The sequence below is a fragment of the Homo sapiens genome, chromosome 5 (genome assembly GCF_000001405.40).
Source record: "Homo sapiens chromosome 5, GRCh38.p14 Primary Assembly".
Lineage (NCBI taxonomy): Eukaryota > Metazoa > Chordata > Mammalia > Primates > Hominidae > Homo > Homo sapiens.
In genome coordinates, this window is record NC_000005.10 from 96,551,587 (window position 1) to 96,573,363 (window position 21,777).

At 40.3% G+C, this 21,777-nt stretch overlaps 1 protein-coding gene and 1 long non-coding RNA gene across 12 annotated transcripts in view, besides 1 other annotated feature; both read left to right on the plus strand.

The window, feature by feature from the left end:
- CAST (calpastatin) overlaps positions 1-21,777 on the plus strand; it is an 813,255-nt gene that overhangs the window by 590,158 nt on the left and 201,320 nt on the right. The window lies entirely within an intron of this gene.
- The window catches only part of LOC101929710 (uncharacterized), a 669,085-nt gene that overhangs the window by 589,586 nt on the left and 57,722 nt on the right, over positions 1-21,777 (plus strand). The gene's annotated exons all lie outside the window — the stretch shown is intronic.
- Positions 14,525-14,725: a silencer, noted in NCBI's record as "peak5361 fragment used in MPRA reporter construct". NCBI's record gives its function as "represses an SCP1 promoter by STARR-seq MPRAs in K562 erythroleukemia cells {active_cell/tissue: K562}" and the evidence as "EXISTENCE:reporter gene assay evidence [ECO:0000049][PMID:32103011]".

The following is a 21,777-nucleotide window of genomic DNA, read 5'->3' on the forward strand; positions in this document are numbered from 1 at the left end:
ATGGGCTAAATGCTCCAATTAAGAGACAAAGACTGGCAAATTGGATAAAGAGTCAAGACCCATCTGTGTTCTGTATTCAGGAGACCTATCTCGCATGCAAAGACACACACAGGCTCAAAATAAAGGGATGGAGAAAGATCTACCAAGAAAATAGAAAGCAAGAAAAAGCAGGGGTTGCAATTCTGTTCTCTAATAAAACAGACTTTAACCCAACAAAGATCAAAAGGACAAAGAAGTCCATTACATAATGGTAAAGGGATCAATTCAACAAGAAGAGCAAACTATCCTAAATATATATGCACCCAATAGAGGAGCACCGCGATTCATAAAGCAAGTTCTTAAAGACCTACAAAGAAACTTAGACTCCCACACAATAATAATGGGAGACTTTAACACCCCACTGTCAATATTAGACAGAACAATGAGACAGAAAATTAACAGGGATATCCACGACTTGAACTCAGCTCTGAGCCAAGCAGACCTAATAGACATCTACAGAACTCTCCACCCCAAATCAACAGAATATACTTTCTTCTCAGCACCACATCGCACTTATTCTAAAATTGACCACATAATTGGAAGTAAAACACTCCTCAGTAAATCTAAAAGAACAGAAATCACAACAAACTCCATCTCAGACTACAGTGCAATCAAATTAGAACTCAGGATTAAGAATCTCACTCAAAACCACACAGCTACATGGAAACTGAACAACCTGCTCCTGAACGACTACTGGGTAAATAATGAAATGAAGGCAGAAATAAAGATGTTCTTTGAAGCCAATGAGAACAAAGATACAACGTACCAGAATCTCTGGGAAACATTGAAAGCAGTGTGTAGAGGGAAATTTATAGCACTATATGCCCACAGGAGAAAGCAGGAGAGATCTAAAATTGATACCCTAACATCACAATTAAAAGAACTAAAGAAGCAAGAGCAAACAAATTCAAAAGCTAGCAGAAGACAAGAAATAGCTAAGATCAGAGAAGAACTGAAGGAGATAGAGACACAAAAAGCCCTTCAAAAAATCAGTGAATACAGGAGCTGGTTTTTGAAAAGATCAACAAAATAGACTGCTAGCAAGACTAACAAGAAAAGAGAGAAGAATCAAATAGACTCATTAAAAAATGATAAAGTGGGTATCACCACCAATCCCACAGAAATACACACTATGATCAGAGAATACTATAAACACCTCTATGCAAATAAACTAGAAAATCTAAAAGAAATTGATAAATTCCTGGACACATACACCCTCCCAAGACTAAACGAGGAAGAAGTTGAACCTCTGAATAGACCAATAACAAGTTCTGAAATTGAGGCAATAATTAACAGCCTACTAACAAAAAAAAGTCCAGGACCAGACCGATTCACAGCTGAATTCTACCAGAGGTACAAAGAGGAGCTGGTATCATTCCTTCTGAAACTATTCTGATCAATAGAAATAGAGGGAATCCTCACTAACTCATTTTATGAGGCCAGCATCATCCTAATACCAAAGCTTGGCAGAGACACAACAAAAAAAAGAGAATTTTAGGCCAATATCCCTGATGAACATCTATGGGAAAATCCTCAATAAAATACTGGCAAACCGAATCCAGCAGCACATCAAAAAGCTTATCCACCATAATCAAGTGGGCTTCATCCCTGGGATGCAAGGCTGGTTCAACATATGCAAATCAATAGACATAATCCATCACATAAACAGAACCAATGACAAAAACCACATGATTATCTCAATAGATGCAGAAAAGGCCTTTGACAAAATTCAACAGCCTTTCATGCTAAAAACTCTCATAAACTAGTTATTGATGGAACATATCTCAACATAATAAGAGCTATTTATGACAAACCCACAACCAGTATCATACTGAATGTGTAAACCTGGGAGCATTCCCTTTGAAAACCAGCACAAGGATGCCCTCTCTCACCACTCCTATTCAACATAGTATTGGAAGTTCTGGCCAGGGCAATCAGGCAAGAGAAGGCAATAAAGGTATTCAAAGAAGTAGAGAGGAAGTCAAATTGTCTCTGTTTGCAGATGACATGATTGTATATTTAGAAAACCCCATCGTCTCAGCCCAAAATCTCCTTAAGCTGATAAGCAACTTCAGCAAAATCTCAAGATGCAAAATCAATGTGCAAAAATCACAAGCATTCCTATACACCAATAACAGACAAACAGAGAGCCAAATCATGAGTTAACTCCCATTCTCAATTGCTACTAAGAGAATAAAATAGCTAGGAATCCAACTTACAAGGGATGTGAAGGACCTCTTCAAGGAGAACTACAAACCACTGCTCAAAGAAATAAGAGAGGACACAAACAAATGGAAAAACATTCCATGCTCATGGATAGGAAGAATCAGTATTGTAAAAATGGCCTTACTGCCCAAAGTAATCTACAGATTTAATGCTATCCCCATCAAGCTACCACTCACTTTCTTCACAGAATTGGAAAAAACTACTTTAAACTTCATATGGAAACAAGAAAGAGCCTGCATAGCCAAGACAATCCTGGGCAAGAAGAACAAAGCCAGAGGCATCATGCTACCTGACTTCAAACTTTACTACAAGACTCCAGTAACCAAAACAGCATGGTACTGGTACCAAAACAGATATATAGACCAATGGAACAGAACAGAGGCCTCAGAAATAACACCACACATCTGTCACCATCTGATCTTTGACAAACTTGACACACACAAGCATTGGGGAAAAGATTCCCTATTTAATAAATGGTGTTGGGAAAACTGGCTAACCATATGCAGAAAACTGAAACTGGACCCCTTCCTTACACCTGACACAAAAATCAACTCAAGATGGATCAAAGACTTAACTGTAAGACGTAGGACCATAAAAATCCTAGAAGAAAACCTGGGCAATAACATTCAGGACATAGGCATGGGCAAAGACTTCATGTCTAAAACACCAAAAGCAATGACAACAAAAGCCAAAATTGACAAATTGGATCTAAGTCAACTAAAGAGCTTCTGCACAGCAAAAGAAACTATCATCAGAGTGAACAGGCAACCTACAGAATGGGAGAAAATTTTTCAATCTATCCTTTTGACAAAGGGCTAATATCCAGAATCCATAAAGAACTTTAAACAAATTTACAAGAAATAAAACAACCCCAACAAAAAACGGGCAAAGGATATGAACAGACACTTCTCAAAAGAAGACATTTATGCAGCCAACAGACATAAGAAACAATGCTCATCATCACTGGTCATTAGAAAAATGCAAATCAAAACCACAATGAGATACCATCTCACAGCAGTTAGAATTGGGATCATTAAAAAGTCAGGAAACAACAGATACTGGAGAGGTTGTGGAAAAATAAGAGTGCTTTTACACTGTTGGTGGAAGTGTAAATTAGTTCAACCGTTGTGGAAGACAGTGTGGCAATTCCTCAAGGATCTAGAACTAGAAATACCATTTGACCCAGCAATCCCATTACTGGGCATATACCCAAAGGCTTATAAATCATCTATGATAAAGGCAGATGCACACGTATGTTTATTGTGGCACTATTCACAATAGCAAAGACTTGTAACCAACCCAAATGTCCATCAGTGATAGACTGGATTAAGAAAATGTAGCACATATACACCATGGAGTACTATGCAGCCATAAAAATGGATGAGTTCGGAGGGTGGAGCCAAGATGGCTGAATAGGAACAGCTCCAGTCTACAGCTCCCAGCATGAGCGACACAGAAGATGGGTGATTTCTGCATTTCCAACTGAGGTACGTGTTCATCTCACTGGGGAGTGTCAGACAGTGGGTGCAGGACAGTGGGTGCAGCGCACCCAGCGTGAGCCGAAGCAGGGTGAAGCATCGCCTCACCCAGGAAGTGCAAGGGGTCAGGGAATTCCCTTTCCTAGTCAAAGAAAGAGGCGACAGACGGCACCTAGGAAATCGGGTCACTCCCACCCTAATACTGCACTTTTCCAAAGGTCTTAGCAAACGGCACACCAGGACATTATATCCCGCACCTGGCTTGAAGGGTCCTACGCCCATGGAGCCTAGCTCATTGCTAGCATAGCAGTCTGAGATCTAACTGCAAGGCGGCAGCGAGGCTGACGGAGGGGTGCCCGCCATTGCCGAGGCTTGAGTAGGTAAACAAAGCGGCCAGGAAGCTCAAACTGGGTGGAGCCCACTACAGCTCAAGGAGGCCTGCCTGCCTCTGTAGACTCCACCTCTAGGGGCAGGGCATAGCCAAACAAAAGGCAGCAGAAACCTCTGCAGACTTAAATGTCCCTGTCTGACAGCTTTGAAGAGAGTAGTGGTTCTCCCAGCACGCAGCTGGAGATCTGAGAACGGACAGACTGCCTCCTCAAGTGAGTAGCCTAACTGGGAGGCACCCCCCAGTAGGGGCAGACTGACACCTCACATGGCTGGGTACTCCTCTGAGACAAAACTTCCAGAGGAACAATCAGGCAGCAATATTTGCTGTTCACCAATATCCGCTGTTCTGCAGCCTCCGCTGCTTATACCCAGGCAAACAGGGTCTGGAGTGGACCTCCAGAAAACTCCAACAGACCTGCAGCTGAGGGTCCTGACTGTTAGAAGGAAAACTAACAAACAGAAAGGACATCCACACCAAAACCCCATCTGTACATCTGCATCATCAAAGACCAAAGGTAGATAAGACCACAAAGATGGGGAAAAAACAGAGCAGAAAAACTGGAAACTCTAAAAAGCAGAGCGCCTCTCCTCCTCCAAAGGAATGCAGATCCTCACCAGCAACAGAACAAAGCTGGACGGAGAATGACTTTGACGAGTTGAGAGAAGAAGGCTTCAGAAGATCAAACTACTCAGAGCTAAAGGAGGAAGTGCGAACCCATGGCAAAGAAGTTAAAAACCTTGAAAAAAATTAGACAAATGGCTAACTAGAATAACCAATGCAGAGAAGTCCTTAAAGGACCTGATGGAGCTGAAAACCACAGCACGAGAACTATGTGACCAATGCACAAGCCTCGGTAGCCTATTTGATCAACTGGAAGAAAGGGTATCAGTGATGGAAGACCAAATGAATGAAATGAAGTGAGAAGAGAAGTTTAGAGAAAAAAGAATAAAAAGAAATGAACAAAGCCTCCAAGAAATATGGGACTATGTGAAAAGACCAAATCTACATCTGACTGGTGTACCTGAAAGTGATGGGGAGAATGGAACCAAGTTGGAAAACACTCTGCAGGATATTATCCAGGAAAACTTCCCCAATCTAGCAAGGCAGGCCAACATTCAAATCCAGGAAATACAGAGAATGCCACAAAGATACTCCTCGAGAAGAGCAACTCCAAGACACATAATTGTCAGATTCACCAAAGTTGAAATGAAGGAAAAAATGTTAAGGGCAGCCAGAGAGAAAGGTCGGGTTACCCACAAAGGGAAGCCCATCAGAATAACAGGGGATCTCTCGGCAGAAACTCTACAAGCCAGAAGACAGTGGCAGCCAATACTCAACATTCTTAAAGAAAAGAATTTTCAACCCAGAATTTCGTATCCAGCCAAACTAAGCTTCAGAAGTGAAGGAGAAATAAAATACTTTACAGACAAGCAAATACTGAGAGATTTTGTCACCACCAGGCCTGCCTTACAAGAGCTCCTGAAGGAAGCACTAAACATGGAAAGGAACAACTGGTACCAGCCACTGCAAAAACATGCCAAATTGTAAAGACTATCGATGCTAGGAAGAAACTGCATCAACTAACGAGCAAAATAACCAGCTAACATCATAATGACAGGACCAAATTCACACATAACAATATTAACCTTAAATGTAAATGGGCTAAATGCTCCAATTAAAAGACACAGACTGGCAAATTGGATAAATAGTCAAGACCCATCAGTGTGCTGTATTCAGGAAACCCATATCATGTGCCGACACACACAGGCTCAAAATAAAGGGATGGAGAAAGATCTATCAAGCAAATGGAAAACGAAAAAAAGGCAGGGGTTGCAATCCTAGTCTCTGATAAAACAGACTTTAAACCAACAAAGATCAAAAGAGACAAGGCCATTACATAATGGTAAAGGGATCAATTCAACAAGAAGAGCTAACTGTCCTAAATATATATGCACCCAATACAGGAGCACCCAGATTCATAAACCAAGTCCTTAGAGACCTACAAAGAAACTTAGACTCCCACACAGTAATAATGGGAGACTTTAGCACACCACTGTCAACATTAGACAGATCAACGAGACAGAAAGTTAACAAGGATATCCAGAAACTGAACTCAGCTCTGCACCAAGCAGACCTAACAGAAATCTACAGAACTCTCCACCCCAAATCAACACACTATACATTCTTTTCAGCACCACACCACACCTATTCCAAAACTGACCACATAGTTGGAAGTAAAGCACTCCTCAGCAAATGTAAAAGAACAGAAATTATAACAAACTGTCTCTCAGACCACAGTGCAATCAAACTAGAACTCAGGATTCAGAAACTCACTCAAAACCGCTCAACTACATGGAAACTGAACAACCTGATCCTGAATGACTACTGGGTACATAACGAAATGAAGGCAGAAATAAAGATGTTCTTTGAAACCAACGAGAATAAAGACACAACATATCAGAATCTCTGGGACACATTCAAAGCAATGTGTAGAGGGAAATTTATAGCACTAAATGCCCACAAGAGAAAGCAGGAAAGATCTAAAATTGACACCCTAACATCACAATTAAAAGAACTAGAGAAGCAAGAGCAAACACATTCAAAAGCTAGCAGAAGGCAAGAAATAACTAAGATCAGAGCAGAACTGAAGGAAATAGAGACACAAAAAAACCCTTCAAAAAAATCAGTGAATCCAGGAGCTGGTTTTTTGAAAAGATCAACAAAATTGAGAGACCACTAGCAAGACTAATAAAGAAGAAAAGAGAGAAGAATCAAATAGACGCACTAAAAAATGATAAAGGGGATAACACCACAGATCCCACAGAAATACAAACTACCATCAGAGAATACTATAAACACCTCTACACAAATAAACTAGAAAATCTAGAAGAAATGGATAAATTCCTCGACACATACACCCTCCCAAGACTAAACCAGGAAGAAATTGAATGTCTGAATACATCAATGATTGGCTCTGAAATTGAGGCAATAATTAATAGCTTACCAACCAAAAAAGTCCAGGACCAGATGGATTCACAGCCGAATTCTACCAGAGCTATGAGGAGGAGCTAGTACCATTCCTTCTGAAACTATTCCAATCAATAGAAATAGAGGGAATCCTCCCTAACTCATTTTATGAGGCCAGCATCATCCTGATACCAAAGCCTGGCAGAGACACAACAAAAAAAGAGAATTTTAGACCAATATCCCTGATGAACATTGATGCAAAAATCCTCAATAAACTACTGGCAAACCGAATCCAGCAGCACATCAAAAAGCTTATCCACCATAATCAAGTGGGCTTCATCCCTGGGATGCAAGGCTGGTTCAACATATGCAAATCGATAAACGTAATCCAGCATATAAACAGAACCAATGACAAAAGCCACATGATTATCTCAATAGATGCAGAAAACGCCTTTGACAAAATTCAACAACCCTTCATGCTAAAATCTCTCAATAAATTAGGTATTGATGGGAAGTATCTCAAAATAATAAGAGCTGTCTATGACAAACCCACAGCCAATATCATACTGAATGGGCAAAAACTGGAAGCATTCCCTTTGAAAACTGGCTAAAGACAGGGATGTCCTCTCTCACCACTTCTATTCAACATAGTGTTGGAAGTTCTGGCCAGGGCAATCAGGCAGGAGAAGGAAATAAGGGGTATTCAGTTAGGAAAGGAGGAAGTCAAATTGTCCCTGTTTGCAGATGACATGATTGTATATCTAGAAAACCCCATCGTCTCAGCCCAAAATCTCCTTAAGCTGATAAGCAACTTCAGCAAAGTCTCAGGATACAAAATCAATGTGCAAAAATCACAAGCATTCTTATACACCAATAACAAACAGAGAGCAAAATCATGAGTGAACTCCCATTCACGATTGCTTCAAAGAGAATAAAATACCTAGGAATCCAACTTACAAGGGACGTAAAGGACCCCTTCAAGGAGAACTACAAACCACTGCTCAATGAAATAAAAGAGGATACAAGCAAATGGAAGAACATTCCATGCTCATGGGTAGGAAGAATCAGTATCGTGAGAATGGCTATAGTGCCCAAGGTAATTTATAGATTCAATGCCATCCCCATCAAGCTACCAGTGACTTTCTTCACAGAATTGGAAAAAACTACTTTAAAGTTCATATGGAACCAAAAAAGAGCCCACATTGCCAAGTCAATCCTAAGCCTAAAGAACAAAGCTGGAGGCGTCACACTACCTGCCTTCAAACTATACTTACAAGGCTACAGTAACCAAAACAGCATGGTACTGGTACCAAAACAGAGATATAGACCAATGGAACAGAATAGAGCCCTCAGAAATAATGCCACATATCTACAACTATCTGATCTTTGACAAACCTGACAAAAACAAGAAATAGGGAAAGGATTCCCTATTTAATAAATGGTGCTGGGAAAACTGGCTAGCCATATGTAGAAAGCTGAAACTGGATCCCTTCCTTACACCTTATACAAAAATTAATTCAAGATGGATTAAAGACTTAAATGTTAGACCTAAAACCATAAAAATGCTAGAAGAAAACCTAGGCAATACCGTTCAGGACATAGGCATGGACAAGGACTTCATGTCTAAAACACCAAAAGCAATGGCAACAAAAGCCAAAATTGACAAATGGGATCTAATTAAACTAAAGAGCTTCTGCACAGCAAAAGAAACTACCATCAGAGTGAACAGGCAACCTACAAAATGGGAGAAAATTTTTGCAATCTACTCATCTGACAAAGGGCTAATATCCAGAATCTACAATGAACTCAAACAAATTTACAAGAAAAAACAACCCCATCAAAAAGTGGGCAAAGGATGTGAACAGACACTTCTCAAAAGAAGACATTTATGCAGCCAAAAGACACATGAAAAATTGCTCATCATTACTGGCAATCAGAGAAATGCAAATCAAAACCACAATGAGATACCATCTCACACCAGTTAGAATGGCGATCATTAAAAAGTCAGGAAACAACAGGTGCTGGAGAGGATGTGGAGAAATAGGAACACTTTTACACTGTTGGTGGGACTGTAAACTAGTTCAACCATTGTGGAAGTCAGTGTGGCGATTCCTCAGGGATCTGGAACTAGAAATACCATTTGACCCAGCCATCCCATTACTGGGTATATACCCAAAGGATTATAAAACATGCTGCTATAAAGACACATGGACACATATGTTTATTGTGGCACTATTCACTACAGCAAAGACTTGGAACCTACCCAAATGTCCAACAATGATAGACTGGATTAAGAAAATGTGGCACATATACACCATGGAATACTATGCAGCCATAAAAAAGGATGAGTTCATGTCCTTTGTAGGGACATGGATGAAGCTGGAAAGCATCATTCTGAGCAAACTATCGCAAGGACAAAACACCAAACACCACATGTTCTCACTCACAGATGGGAGTTGAACAATGAGAACACATGGACACAGGAAGGGGAACATCACACACCAGGGCCTGTTGTGGGGTGGGGGGAGGGGAGACGGATAGCATTAGGAGATATACCTAATAATGTTAAATGATGAGTTAATGGATGCAGCACACCAACATGGCACATGTATACATATGTAACAAACCTGCACTTTGTGTACACGTACCCTAAAACTTAAAGTATAATAAAAAAAAGAAAAAAAGGAAAATAAAAAAATTAAAAAGAATGAGTTCATGTCCTTTGCAGGGACATGGATGAAGCTGGAAACCTTCATTCGCAGCAAACTATCACAAGATCAGAAAACCAAACACTCATGCTCTCACTCATAATGAGAGTTGAACAATGAGAACACATGGACAAAGGAAGGGGAACATCACACACCGGGGCCTGTTGGGGGTGGGGAGGTAGGGGAGGGATAACATTAGGAGGAATACCTAATGTAGATGATGGGTTGATGGGTGCAGCAAACCACCATGGCATGTGTATACATATGTAACAAAACTGCATGTTCTGCACATGTAACCCAGAACTTAAAGTACAATAAAAAAATTAAAGTATAAAAACATGAGAAGGATATATATGTCCATATATATGTATATATGTGTATTATATATATGTTTTTTTTTGTTTTTTTTTTTTTTGAGACGGAGTCTCGCTCTGTCGCCCAGGCTGGAGTGCAGTGGCGCGATCTCGGCTCACTGCAAGCTCCGCCTCCCAGGTTCACGCCATTCTCCTGCCTCAGCCTCCCGAGTAGCTGGGACTACAGACGCCCGCTACCACGCCCGGCTAATTTTTTGTATTTTTAGTAGAGACGGGGTTTCACCGTGTTAGCCAGGATGGTCTCGATCTCCTGACCTCGTGATCCGCCCGCCTCGGCCTCCCAAAGTGCTGGGATTACAGGCGTGAGCCACCGCGCCCGGCCATATATGTTTTTACATATGTATGTAAAATATCAAGAGTAAACAAGTCCTTTTAAATATAATGGAAAATTTAGAAGGCGTTAATAAAACTTTTCATGCACACACACACACACACACAAATCCATAGGGTAAAATATTATAAAAACTCAAGAGAAATGACAACTGAGAAAAATATTTGCAACTTATATCACAGACAAATCAGTAAGAAATTAACAAACTAATAAATTATCAAAATCACATGAATAATATTTCATAGAACAATACAAATGCCTCTTTAATGTATGAAAAAAATGCTAAATTTCCCTCATAAGGGAAATGCTAATTACAACCACAATGAAATACACATCTTTGCCTCTCAAACTGAGTACTAAGCAAAAAACTTGATAATACATTGTGATAGTAAGGGTGTGGGGAAACAAGAGCTGTCATACATACTGGGCGGGAGTACAAAATGATACAATCTTAATCATAAGCAATTATTCTGCAAAATTATCAAAATTACATGTACACACACTATTTTACTCAGCACTTGCACATCTATGAATTTTACTATACATGTACTTGCATAGGTGTGAAATGACATATGGGCAAGGATACTCATTGCACTATTGTTTGTGATAGCAAAACATTGAAACTGCTTCCAATCTCCAGGAAGATGGGGCTGGTTAAATGCTTATGATATTTTCATTCAATGGTATACTATGTGGCTCATAAAAGAAACAAAATGAGGCAGCTCACTTGGAATGTGGAAGGATGTCTGACAGGATTCATGATATACTACCCCAAAATATTTTAAGCTGAAGGAATTTGAGAAAACAGCAGAAGCAGGAAGTTTTCTCTGAACTTTTCCTGCCCTTCTCTCCTGAAGGAGGTCATAAAACTTAGGAAGGAGTTTTCTGTCCTCCCTCTAAAGCAGGTTATAAGACCCTCAAATGAGAGGTGCCCTCCCTATACCTGGAGGAAAGAAACATCCTTGACTCTGAAGACACAGATATGGCAAAAAGAATCTGAACAAACAGGCCTGCTAAGTTTACCCCAGTTTATTGCCATTAGATCATACTCTTTTTGCCCCATTATAGTTCTTCATAACTATTCACTCTTCAACAAAACTCCCATAAAAAATAGTTAGGTTTAACTATTTCTTTGGGTCACCATTTCCTTGTGAAGGCTCCAATGTCACATGAAGCTTATATTAAATACATGTGTATTATTTTCTCTTGCTAATCTGTCTTTTGTCATATGGTTCTCGGCCATGGACCCAGGATGAGTAGGAGGAAAAATATTTTTCTTCCCCTACATATGTACAAAATCATTGTAAGTGAAAAAATGAAGTGCATAAAGTTTGCGTAGTATTCCACTATTTCCATAAGTGCTTATATATATCTATATAAGATATACGCTTCAGATTCCCTGAAAAGAGAAACAAGAAATTGGCAATGGTAGTTTTCTCCAAGGAGGTGAACTGTTGACTGGGGCATGGAAGTGGGAGTGAAACATACTTGTCACTGTGTCTATCTTCAGATACTTTTTGAATTTTATACCATATTACATGTATTACTTATAAAAAAAAAGCATTCTTTATTTTTAAAAATCTAAGATTACGGTATACGGTATATGGTATACGGTTCACTGCCGCACTTACTGAATTCCATTGCTAATTGGATTTTAAGGAGCACAGTTTTGCAAACAGCCTCCTCCAACGAAGCCCAGTCTGGCAGAGGACATTGGTGAGGTCTTCTGAGCCTAAACAGCCCTCAGCATCTGATCTGATCTGCAGATACAAAGACGCAAGTGTTTCCTTGCCTTTTGCTTACCATTTTAGCAAGACTCAGGCTGTCAGCAGGCTATGAAACGTATTCATCTTAGAAGGTGCTGCTTTAATTTATGAGCTATGCACTGACACAGGCTCTGTAGGAAAGGACATTCCCAGGCCATTATAAATATCATTTTGGCTGCATGATGAGGTCCTGTTTCAGGAAGTATTTCATAAAGAACCCTGACCGCTGCATAATGGCTTTTGCCTCTACTTCTGAACAATGGTTGATATGCAGGAAAAAGATCCACTTTTATTAACCCACAGTCACCAATTACCTTCATTTTATAGGAAATAGGTACAGTGAGGAATCCTTTTATGCCCGACCAACTGTAAGGATCACAGAGAACTTATGTTCAGTACCTTTTTGTTCGTTTGCTTTGGAATTACAACAGATGAATCTCTCAATATATCGATTCCAGAAAAAAGGTTAATTGACAACAAGATCTTCAAGCTGACTTTTTCACTTGGGCTGGCTCTGATTCCAAGAAAGTTTTCTGAAGTGTATTTTGTTTTCCAGATATTTTTCCTTTTCAAAACAGAATCCCATTCTACTTGCCGGAAAATGTGTTGTATTAAAGAGGATTAATACACATTCAAAGTGCAATCAGACTTTTATCCAGATAATACCTTGCTGTAACGGAAGTCCTTTATGTTAGCCACAGCTCTGAATTGCTGAGACATTCTATTGGATAACACATCTGTGAAGGCTCCAACTTAAATGTCACCTATTTAGCGGGGTTCAGTGGCTCATGCCTGTAATCCCAGCACTTTGGGAGGCCGAGGTAGGCAGATCACTTGAGCTCAGATGTTCCAGACCAGCCTGGGCAACGTGGTGAAACCCCATCACTACAAAAAATTAGCCAGGCATGATGGCATGTGCCTGTAGTCTCAACTACTCAGGAGCCTGAGGTGGGAGGATCACTTGAGCCTGAGGTTGAGGCTGCAGTGAGCTGTGATTGTGCCACTGCACTCTAGCCTGGATGACTGAGTGAGACCCTGTCTCAAAAAAAAGTCACCTATTCTGCGAAGTATCTATGAGCTCACCCAGGCAGAGTGGAGTCAGTAAAAAGTGAATTAAGCTATGCCCTTAGTTTACTTTTTTAATTAAAATTCTAGGTAGATCAAAATAAATAAATATTTTAAAAATTAAAGTATAAAAACACATGGGAAAGGTGTGTGTGTGTGTGTGTGTGTGTGTGTAAAGTATCAGAGTGGACAAGTCTTTTTAAGTGTAATGGAAAATTTAGAAGCAATTAATAAAAATTTTCCCACACTAAAAAAAATAGCCTCTCCTTAACTCTGAACTTTCAAAACATGCCCATACCTCAATTAAAATATATATCATATAGAGAGGATTTTAAATGATATGATAAATATGAAGAAATAAATATTTGAGGTGATAAATATGCTACTTAGCCTGATTTGATCATTCTACAAGGTATACATGTCTCGAAACATCACATTGTACCCACATATATATATATACAACTAATATTTTCCAATAAAAAGATAAAACAAGTAGTACATCACATGGCATTATAAGCATTTATTCATACACCCTTTTTCCCTCCTTATTGGACACATCCCCAAATCATACTGTGAATGACTAGGGTACAAATTAGCAACTACACATGCTATTTAACATGATCCTTGGACCACTATAATTATTCTGCAATTAAATGAATGAGTGAATAAATGAAGTGGTACTGGGTCCACTCAGTGTAAGCATTTAAATCAGTGGTCCCCTGGGTGAGCTGGGAAGGGGACACTGAAAATAGACAATCTAATTTTTCCTAAGGCAGCCCGCCAGGCTAGAGAACGTATAGGAGAAGACCGTGAGGGGAACAGCCATCTCCCCATGAGATGTACCGGGCAGAAGGGAATACCTGCTCTCCTACAGGGTAATTGGTGCTCAAATCAACCTAGAAATCCTATATTCTCTCTTCCTTTTAGTAGAAAGCCTCTCTGCCTGGCTAGAATTTCAACAGGCATATTTCCAACTGGCTTTATTATCGTGACCCAGATATAAATATCATGGCAGGAGCCCATGAGGTGGGAGCACAATTTATCCTAACTGAAAATAGAGGCGGAGAATCATCAGCCCTAGTATCCCTGATACTAGAGTGAGGTTTCCATAGCAACCAGCTGAGTCACTAATGAAAAAGAACAGTTGCACTATGACTAGGCTGACATTCTGTGACATTCTCTTATTTTACTGTAGCTCTAATGATGTCTTCAGTGGGAATGACAGAGAGAAAAGGTTCTGACCTCTCAATTAAACCTGTAGCTGACTTGACACGCTCTGCCTTTAGCCTAATGAACGTGAATTTCTGTGTGCAAATTCTGCCTTGGAGAAAAGCAACTTTGGAATTTGTCTGAATCATATATTAGACTTGTTGATTCCATTGTTCCTTTAATGTAGTCCCTTCTTTTCCAAATTAAGATGGAAACAGATGGGTCCCAAAAGCAAAACAGGAAGGGAAGACATTAGTGAAAAGACGTGACAAGGTGATGCTAATCTATCACTGATGACGCAAAATTGAAGAAAACAACCAGAAGTGGTTCTCTCCCTTCTTCAAACAGGAGGAACCACAGGTTATAAAGCAAGAAAGCTAGGAATCTGCAAAGATGGAGGGGACCTGCTGAAGACAAGGTCTGAGAGGTCCATGACCCACTGTATTCACTTACTAGTCACCATATTCAGAGCACTGAGCTAGGCACTACAGGGTGTTGCAAAGCAGAATACCTCAAGTCATTTAAAGTCTAAAACTAAAGGAGGGGTGAGATAGATTCGCAATTTTAAAATGCACACAAACTACACATGACCCCTTCTGCTGACAAGAAACATATACAGAAACCAGCACATTGATGATACAAGTTTTAAAAATTCAAATTAATAAAATAAAAAACTGCCACAACTTTGAGCATAGAAATGGAGTTTTAAAATAATCAAGATGGTCATTGAGTTTGTAAAACACTGAGAGTGCTTTACTTATGTTTTAGTTTCGTTTTGCTTTGTTTTGTTTCAAATGTACTTGTTTGCAAACACGTACCAACTTGTTTTAAGCCCAGCATTGGGTTCCTTTCATCTGCACAAGAAGGGCCACGAGGGCTGGTGTCAGCATTTGCTGCAAATTATATGGGAGTTTCTGCATTTGAGTGTAGGCATCTGCATCTCCTTATCAGCAGAAAAGAAGAGAGCTCATTCATTATTAAAACAGCCTTCTAGCTACTCTCTTTCCTCAGCACAACACTGCCAGACAAATTTTCTTAGTCTAAGTAAGACTTGAATCACGTTTTTCCTCTCCTCAAGATCTTAATTTACTGCTTTCTGCATGGCACTCTCCTAGTTAAGAAGAGATGATGGTTCCACATTACAAATCAAACCACACCCAACTCTGCTGCTTGATTTATAACGCGCCCAACAGCTTCGCCTCAGCATATCTATCCATGCATATTTCCTATGCCTCCCCAGTGGTAGTCCTTCCTTCCTGCCAGACCGTCTCTTTCCTGACCACAAAAAGGCATTATTACTAATTCTCAGCTCCATTGCATTCCACCAGCAGGAATTGCCTTCTCACTACCTAATCAGTCCTAATTCATCCTTGGAGAAAGTGCAAATGCCACTTCCTCCATAAAGGTGTTCTCTGAGGGGCTGCTGCTTGTGTAAACAGGGACTTCCATTCTGTTTGTACTTAACCATTTTCCTAACCTACTCTTATTTTTTCTGTTGACTAAATTGTTGACCCCTTGAGATCAGGCTTCCCGTTCTTTTCTTCTTTTCATGTATAGATGCCCATAGTACATTTACAGCCAGTCACGTATTAATTCAGTAAGTATCTATGGAACATTCGGCCAGGAGAGATATAAAGACCCATAAGGAGGCTTCACCTGGACATTTAGAGCTTGTAGTTGGGAATGTAGACAGGGGATGACAGGGACAAGGTAGTTCAGAACCAGACAATGTTCACATTTTAAAGCCCCCTCATGATTTTGGCCTTTTAATCTGCTTTGTCAGAGCTTCAGAGTTCCATGGAGGAGGAGAGGGTGGCAGGGGAGGCAGGATGCCTTCTTTGTCCTGATCAGAGCTGCTTCATTTTTATCTGCTTCAGGGGTTTAGATTTCTTAGACTTTGGATTAAAACTTCATCTAAAAGGGTACTTTTTGACTGAACAAAGGCTGAAAACCTCTTTTCTGGGTAGTGAAGATCCTTTCGCATTTTTAGGTGTGTTAAGAGCAAGCGTGTATCTGATGCTGGGTTGAGACTTAATCCATACCAGAAAGTTGGTGGATTGCTTAAACCCCCTTGACTCTCAAACTGTCATACATTGTTGACAGATGTTCTTTCATCTATTTGTTTGCTATTAAGAGTCAGAAGGCCGGACACGGTGGCTCACGCCTGTAATCTCAGCACTTTGGGAGGCCGAAGCAGGCAGATCACTTGAGGTCAGGAGTTAGAGACCAGCCTGGCCAACATGCTAGAACCTTATCTCTATTAAAAATACAAAAATTAGCTGGGCATAGCAGGGGGTGCCTGTAATCCCAGCTACTTGGGAGGCTAAGGCAGGAGAATCACTTGAACCTGGGAGGCAGAGTTTGCAGTGAGCCAAGATTGCACCACTGCACTCCAGCCTGGGCGACAGAGCGAGACTCCATCTCAAAAAAAAAAAAAAAAAAAAAAAAGAAGATAAGGGCAGTTGGTTTATATCTTTAATACTGAGGGAGTTTAAGAATATTCTGGCATTATATTTTGCCTCTGATTACTAAGAAATAAAGGTGCTCCTTCTTTGTGTGCATATTTTTTTGTTTTCATGGGAATATTTACTTTTTTTCCTTGTTGGACAGGGGAGTTATTTAAAGGAATGGTCAAAGAAAACTAAAAGGACCAGCTCTCCACCAATAGCTATAATAACTAAATCTATGCCTATGCAGAATCTTGTGAGAGAAAACCAAGCAGAAGGGACAATGAAAGTTGTATGGAAAGACAATAGCATGGATGAGAAGTCAGCAGTGAAGCAGCTTTTGCTGTTGTGTCAGAGCAGAAAATAGAAGAGTGGGCTGGCACAAGGCAGCAGCTACGCTCTGCTCAGACCAACTCTTCTCTGGACATTGCCACTCCAGGAACACAAACCCATGGTGGCCACCTCCTCAGCTGTTGCTGTGACACATTTTAGGATCATGAGTGGAAGGAACTCCCTGAGCATTTCTAGGTACCAAACCAATACAAACAAACTTCATTTTATGGAATTCCTCCCTGCTGAAGTAGACATTCAAAAAACATTCGTAATGTCCCAGCTCTTGGAAGAAACAGATGCAATGAGAGACCTCCCACTCATGGGTCTGCTTCTGCCACAAAGGTATAATGTGTGTGACAATCAAAAAGTATCATGTCAGAGTGGGAAGCATTCATGATGAAAAGTCAAACTGACCTAGGTTCAAATTCTGGCTCAGCTACTTGAAGATAGATGAATAATAAACAGGAATAATTTATATATATTTTTAAAACGAAAGTCTACTGGGAAACCCACTGAATGCTATATTTCTAAGACCCAGATGCCAATCCTATGCCGCTGTTCTTATAAGCCACTTCTCTTTGCACCTGTTGCTGTTTGCTTCCCTCATCCCAAACATACCAGACTGTGCAGGCTCCCCTCCTCTGAGTCCCCATTACACCCTGTCAATTTCCACATCCATCTGCGATTTCCTGGTTTGTGATTCTCAGTTTCTTTTGTCTTACTGCTAACCTAGAAATACTAGAGTTTAGGAAAGTCTCACTTGAAGGGACTAAAAGTCTCAACACAGCACTAAACAAGTCATCCATAGCGACAACACGATCACTGATCCAGTACAATATCTTATGGTGCCTAGAAAAGCACTCACAGCTATTACTTTCTCCTCAGCATTGTTTTACTGTTTATTGCCTGCCTTCCCTCTTATATGTGCACAAAGCACATTTCTCCTGTGAGTCAGTAAACTATACATCTGATTCGGCAGGGGTTTAACATTGTGCTTCACCTGTTTCATTCCCACAGAGAAGGTGGCACCTGGAGCTCAATCACATTTCCCAGTCTAAGACCTTCTCAATCTAATTCCATCTGACTGACATCATAGTGACAGGCTGTATCCTCAGAGAGAACAACAAAGAAAATCGTACCCTGATCTAAAATCCGTTGCTCACTTGTGAATGTTTCACAGCACCGTGGTTGAGAACCACAAGTTTATGAACTTGTCTGTCTGCCTAACATGACAATAAGATCCTTAATATCCTTAGGAAGAGGACTTGTCTTTTTCACCACTGTGTGTATGCCATGATGCTGGGCAGAGTAGGCACTCAAAAAGATTTATAAAATGAGTTTCAAGAGCAATAAAAATAATAGCATTTAGGTATTCACAGCTTCCCCCAACCATGTCAGCTGGTGAAGAAGGAAATACTCTTTGGTAATCATGGAGCCATGGCCTGGATTACTGTTGTAGATATCAAGGTAATGGAAAGAGTGGCTGAAATGAAAGGATTAGGGAAAAGCTAAATTAGTGTACATTAGAATAGCCTAGAACTCAAAGAAGGGCAATTAATAATAAAGGTGAAATTAAGGAGAGAGAGGGAGTGAGGGAGAAAAGCCAAGAAAAATAGAGATGAAGAAGGGATGGATGAGAAAAGAGACATTTGAGCGGATTCCTTTCTGTAATGAATACAATGAAAATAGAATGAAGGTAAAGAGGATGCTTAAAACATGTAGAGTGTGCCCTATAGCGAGTTTCTCCCTTGTAGCATTTTTCCAAGCAACTTCGGTAAAGATTTAAATTAGTTTTTACTACTTTAGGAAAAATATTAAACTGGTATCTCTTTTGAATGAATGCAATGCTGAAACATCATAAGGTAACCCAAGTTTGAGTCACCTTCAACTCAAACCCAAGTTTGTTTGAGTTATAGATGGAACTGGAATAATTTCCTGGGTAAGTGGAGGGTGAATGCTGTCACAGACCAAGCAATCCAATGTGAATTCCTCTGACTTTTTATTGGCCGTGTCTGGTGCTCTCTCATAAGTTTGAACACTGTTATGAATTTGGGGCAATTCTGCATGATGATATTACACAAGGTGGAAACAAGTATATATTCAGAGGAGCAGGATGTAGCCAGCAGAGCTTCATTCTGGTGACTGTTGGAGTTTTCTTGACCTCTGACATTGAATGTCAAGCATTGAGGAGTGGTCCAAGAATCCAGACCTGTCATCTGCAATGAGTCTGAGCTCAAAGCCATCTCTAATGTATTCAAATCTGGACCTTATTCCAGCTCCAAACCCTGCAGGGCTCTTCACTTCCGTAGAGATAGGCAGCGCAGGGAGGGCTAGAGGGTCTCATAAACCAATAGCCTAGTCACTGGTGCTTTTAAAAAACACCACAGAGGCTTAGTCTGATTGCTCATTAATACCTCTCCACTTTGACCAGTAGAAACTGCTCCACCCTTCCTCACACAAGCATTCTCTGGGCATCCTTTGTTAAAAATTTTATTTAGTATAACAATACTATTAATTTTCAAAATATTTCATAGTTATTGATGGGGCTTGTGGCAGAATTGAGTTATAAAGAAACACATGTGTTCTGATCTAGGTCCATTCCTCTAAAGATGATCATAGTTACACAGTTAACTGAACCGACCATTGAATGGAGCTAGCATGCTTGATAGGTTTTCTGTTATCAACAATCATTCCAGGAAGCAAAGGGGAAAAGAATCACAAATTTCCAGTAGATTGCTCTCTCACATCTGTCAGGTCTCCATTCATTTGTGATCTCTCTAGAGGGGGTTTTTGACCAAAAATAGCATCTTGTGCCACCTTCTATATCCCTACCCTGTTTTACTTTCCTTTGTAGCTCTTATCACTCTGTCATTATAACGCATGCTTATCCACTTACTTATTGCCTGCCTCCCCAAATGGAATGTGAGTTACATTAGGGTTGGGACTTTACTGATGCACCCTAAAACAGTTTCTAACATATACAAAGTGCTCAATGTGTATCATTAAATATATTGATGTTGAGTGAATAAATAAATTGTCCAATGAAATTAATAGAATGAATGAATGGACACATATAATATGCCAGCAATGGTGGATAAATGGTTTACAAATAATAAACATTTAAATCAAGTTCAACCCTGTCAGGGAAGTGTTGCTTTCATCTGATTGACAGATGTAGAAAATGAGACTCAGAGAGGTAAAATAATTTGCCCAAAATATATGCACACAATAGGTTGCAGAACTAGGATTTGAACGTGGCTCTTTCCGATGACACAATTTGTGCTATTTTTTTTTTTTTGAGATGGAGTCTCACTGTGTCTCCCAGGCTGGAGTGCAGTGGCACGATCTCGGCTGACTGCAACCTCTGCCTCCTGGGTTCGAGCAATTCTCCTACTTCAGCCTCCCGAGTAGCTGGGATTACAGGCACACACCACCACACCCAGCTAATTTTTGTATTTTTGGTAGAGACGGGGTTTCGCCATGTTGGCCAGGCTGGTCTCGAACTCCTGACCTCAGGTGATCTGCCCACCTCGGCCTCCCAAAGTGCTGAGATTACAGGTGTGAGCCACTGCACCCTGTCCCAACTTGTGCTATTTTTATAACACTTCACTTTGTGCAAAAGCTATAGGTCAGGCTAGTTTAATATCCTTCAAAACTATAATGCTAAAGAGAGTACTTAAAGGAAATGATTTAATGACGCTTTAGTGTTGGACTTGGTATCTCCTGGCCTTTTCTTCCATCTCCTACCTCCTCCCAATTACATCTGACTTGGGCATCAAAACAAGACTCGCCTGGGTCCCTGGGCTGAAAAATAAAGCTTGCTTGTGCTGGTCTCTACACCTTGGGCAGGCTTTCTCTTTCCTCAGGCATGTGAGGAAAGCAGAACAGCCACAAGTCTATCAGAGCTGAGGGAGCTAGCTGTGTGTTTGTCTACCAAGTGTTGGCAGTCCTGGGAAGTATGGATGCACAGCATCATGCACAACCTGGTGGGACTCAGTAAGACAAAAGGAAGGAAGGTTAAGTGAGTAACAAGTGTGTTCACAACAAGATAGAAGTAAACCAGGCAGGGAGTCCAGTGTTGACAGGAAGAAGTTACTCGATGACTAATTGGAGAGAAGGACAAAGCTATGATACTGAAGGACAAGAAGGAGCAATGCATGATGTAAGTAACTGTGTGGTTGCTGAGTCTACCCCATAAGGTAGTTGTTTACCTTTTATGGTTTATGTTCTTGGATTGTGCACTGGGTTTGATGACTCAACTGGGTAAGGGCCAGATGGTTTTCTAATGTATCTTTTGTCTCCAGAAGGACAGAAATTTGAGCTTTAAGGCATCTTGAGTTACCTTGAAATGTAATTTTTTCTTGTTTTTTTTGTTTTATTTTTTATGCTTTGTTATTGAGGCATAATTTACATTAAACGACATGCACAAGCCAGACATGGTGG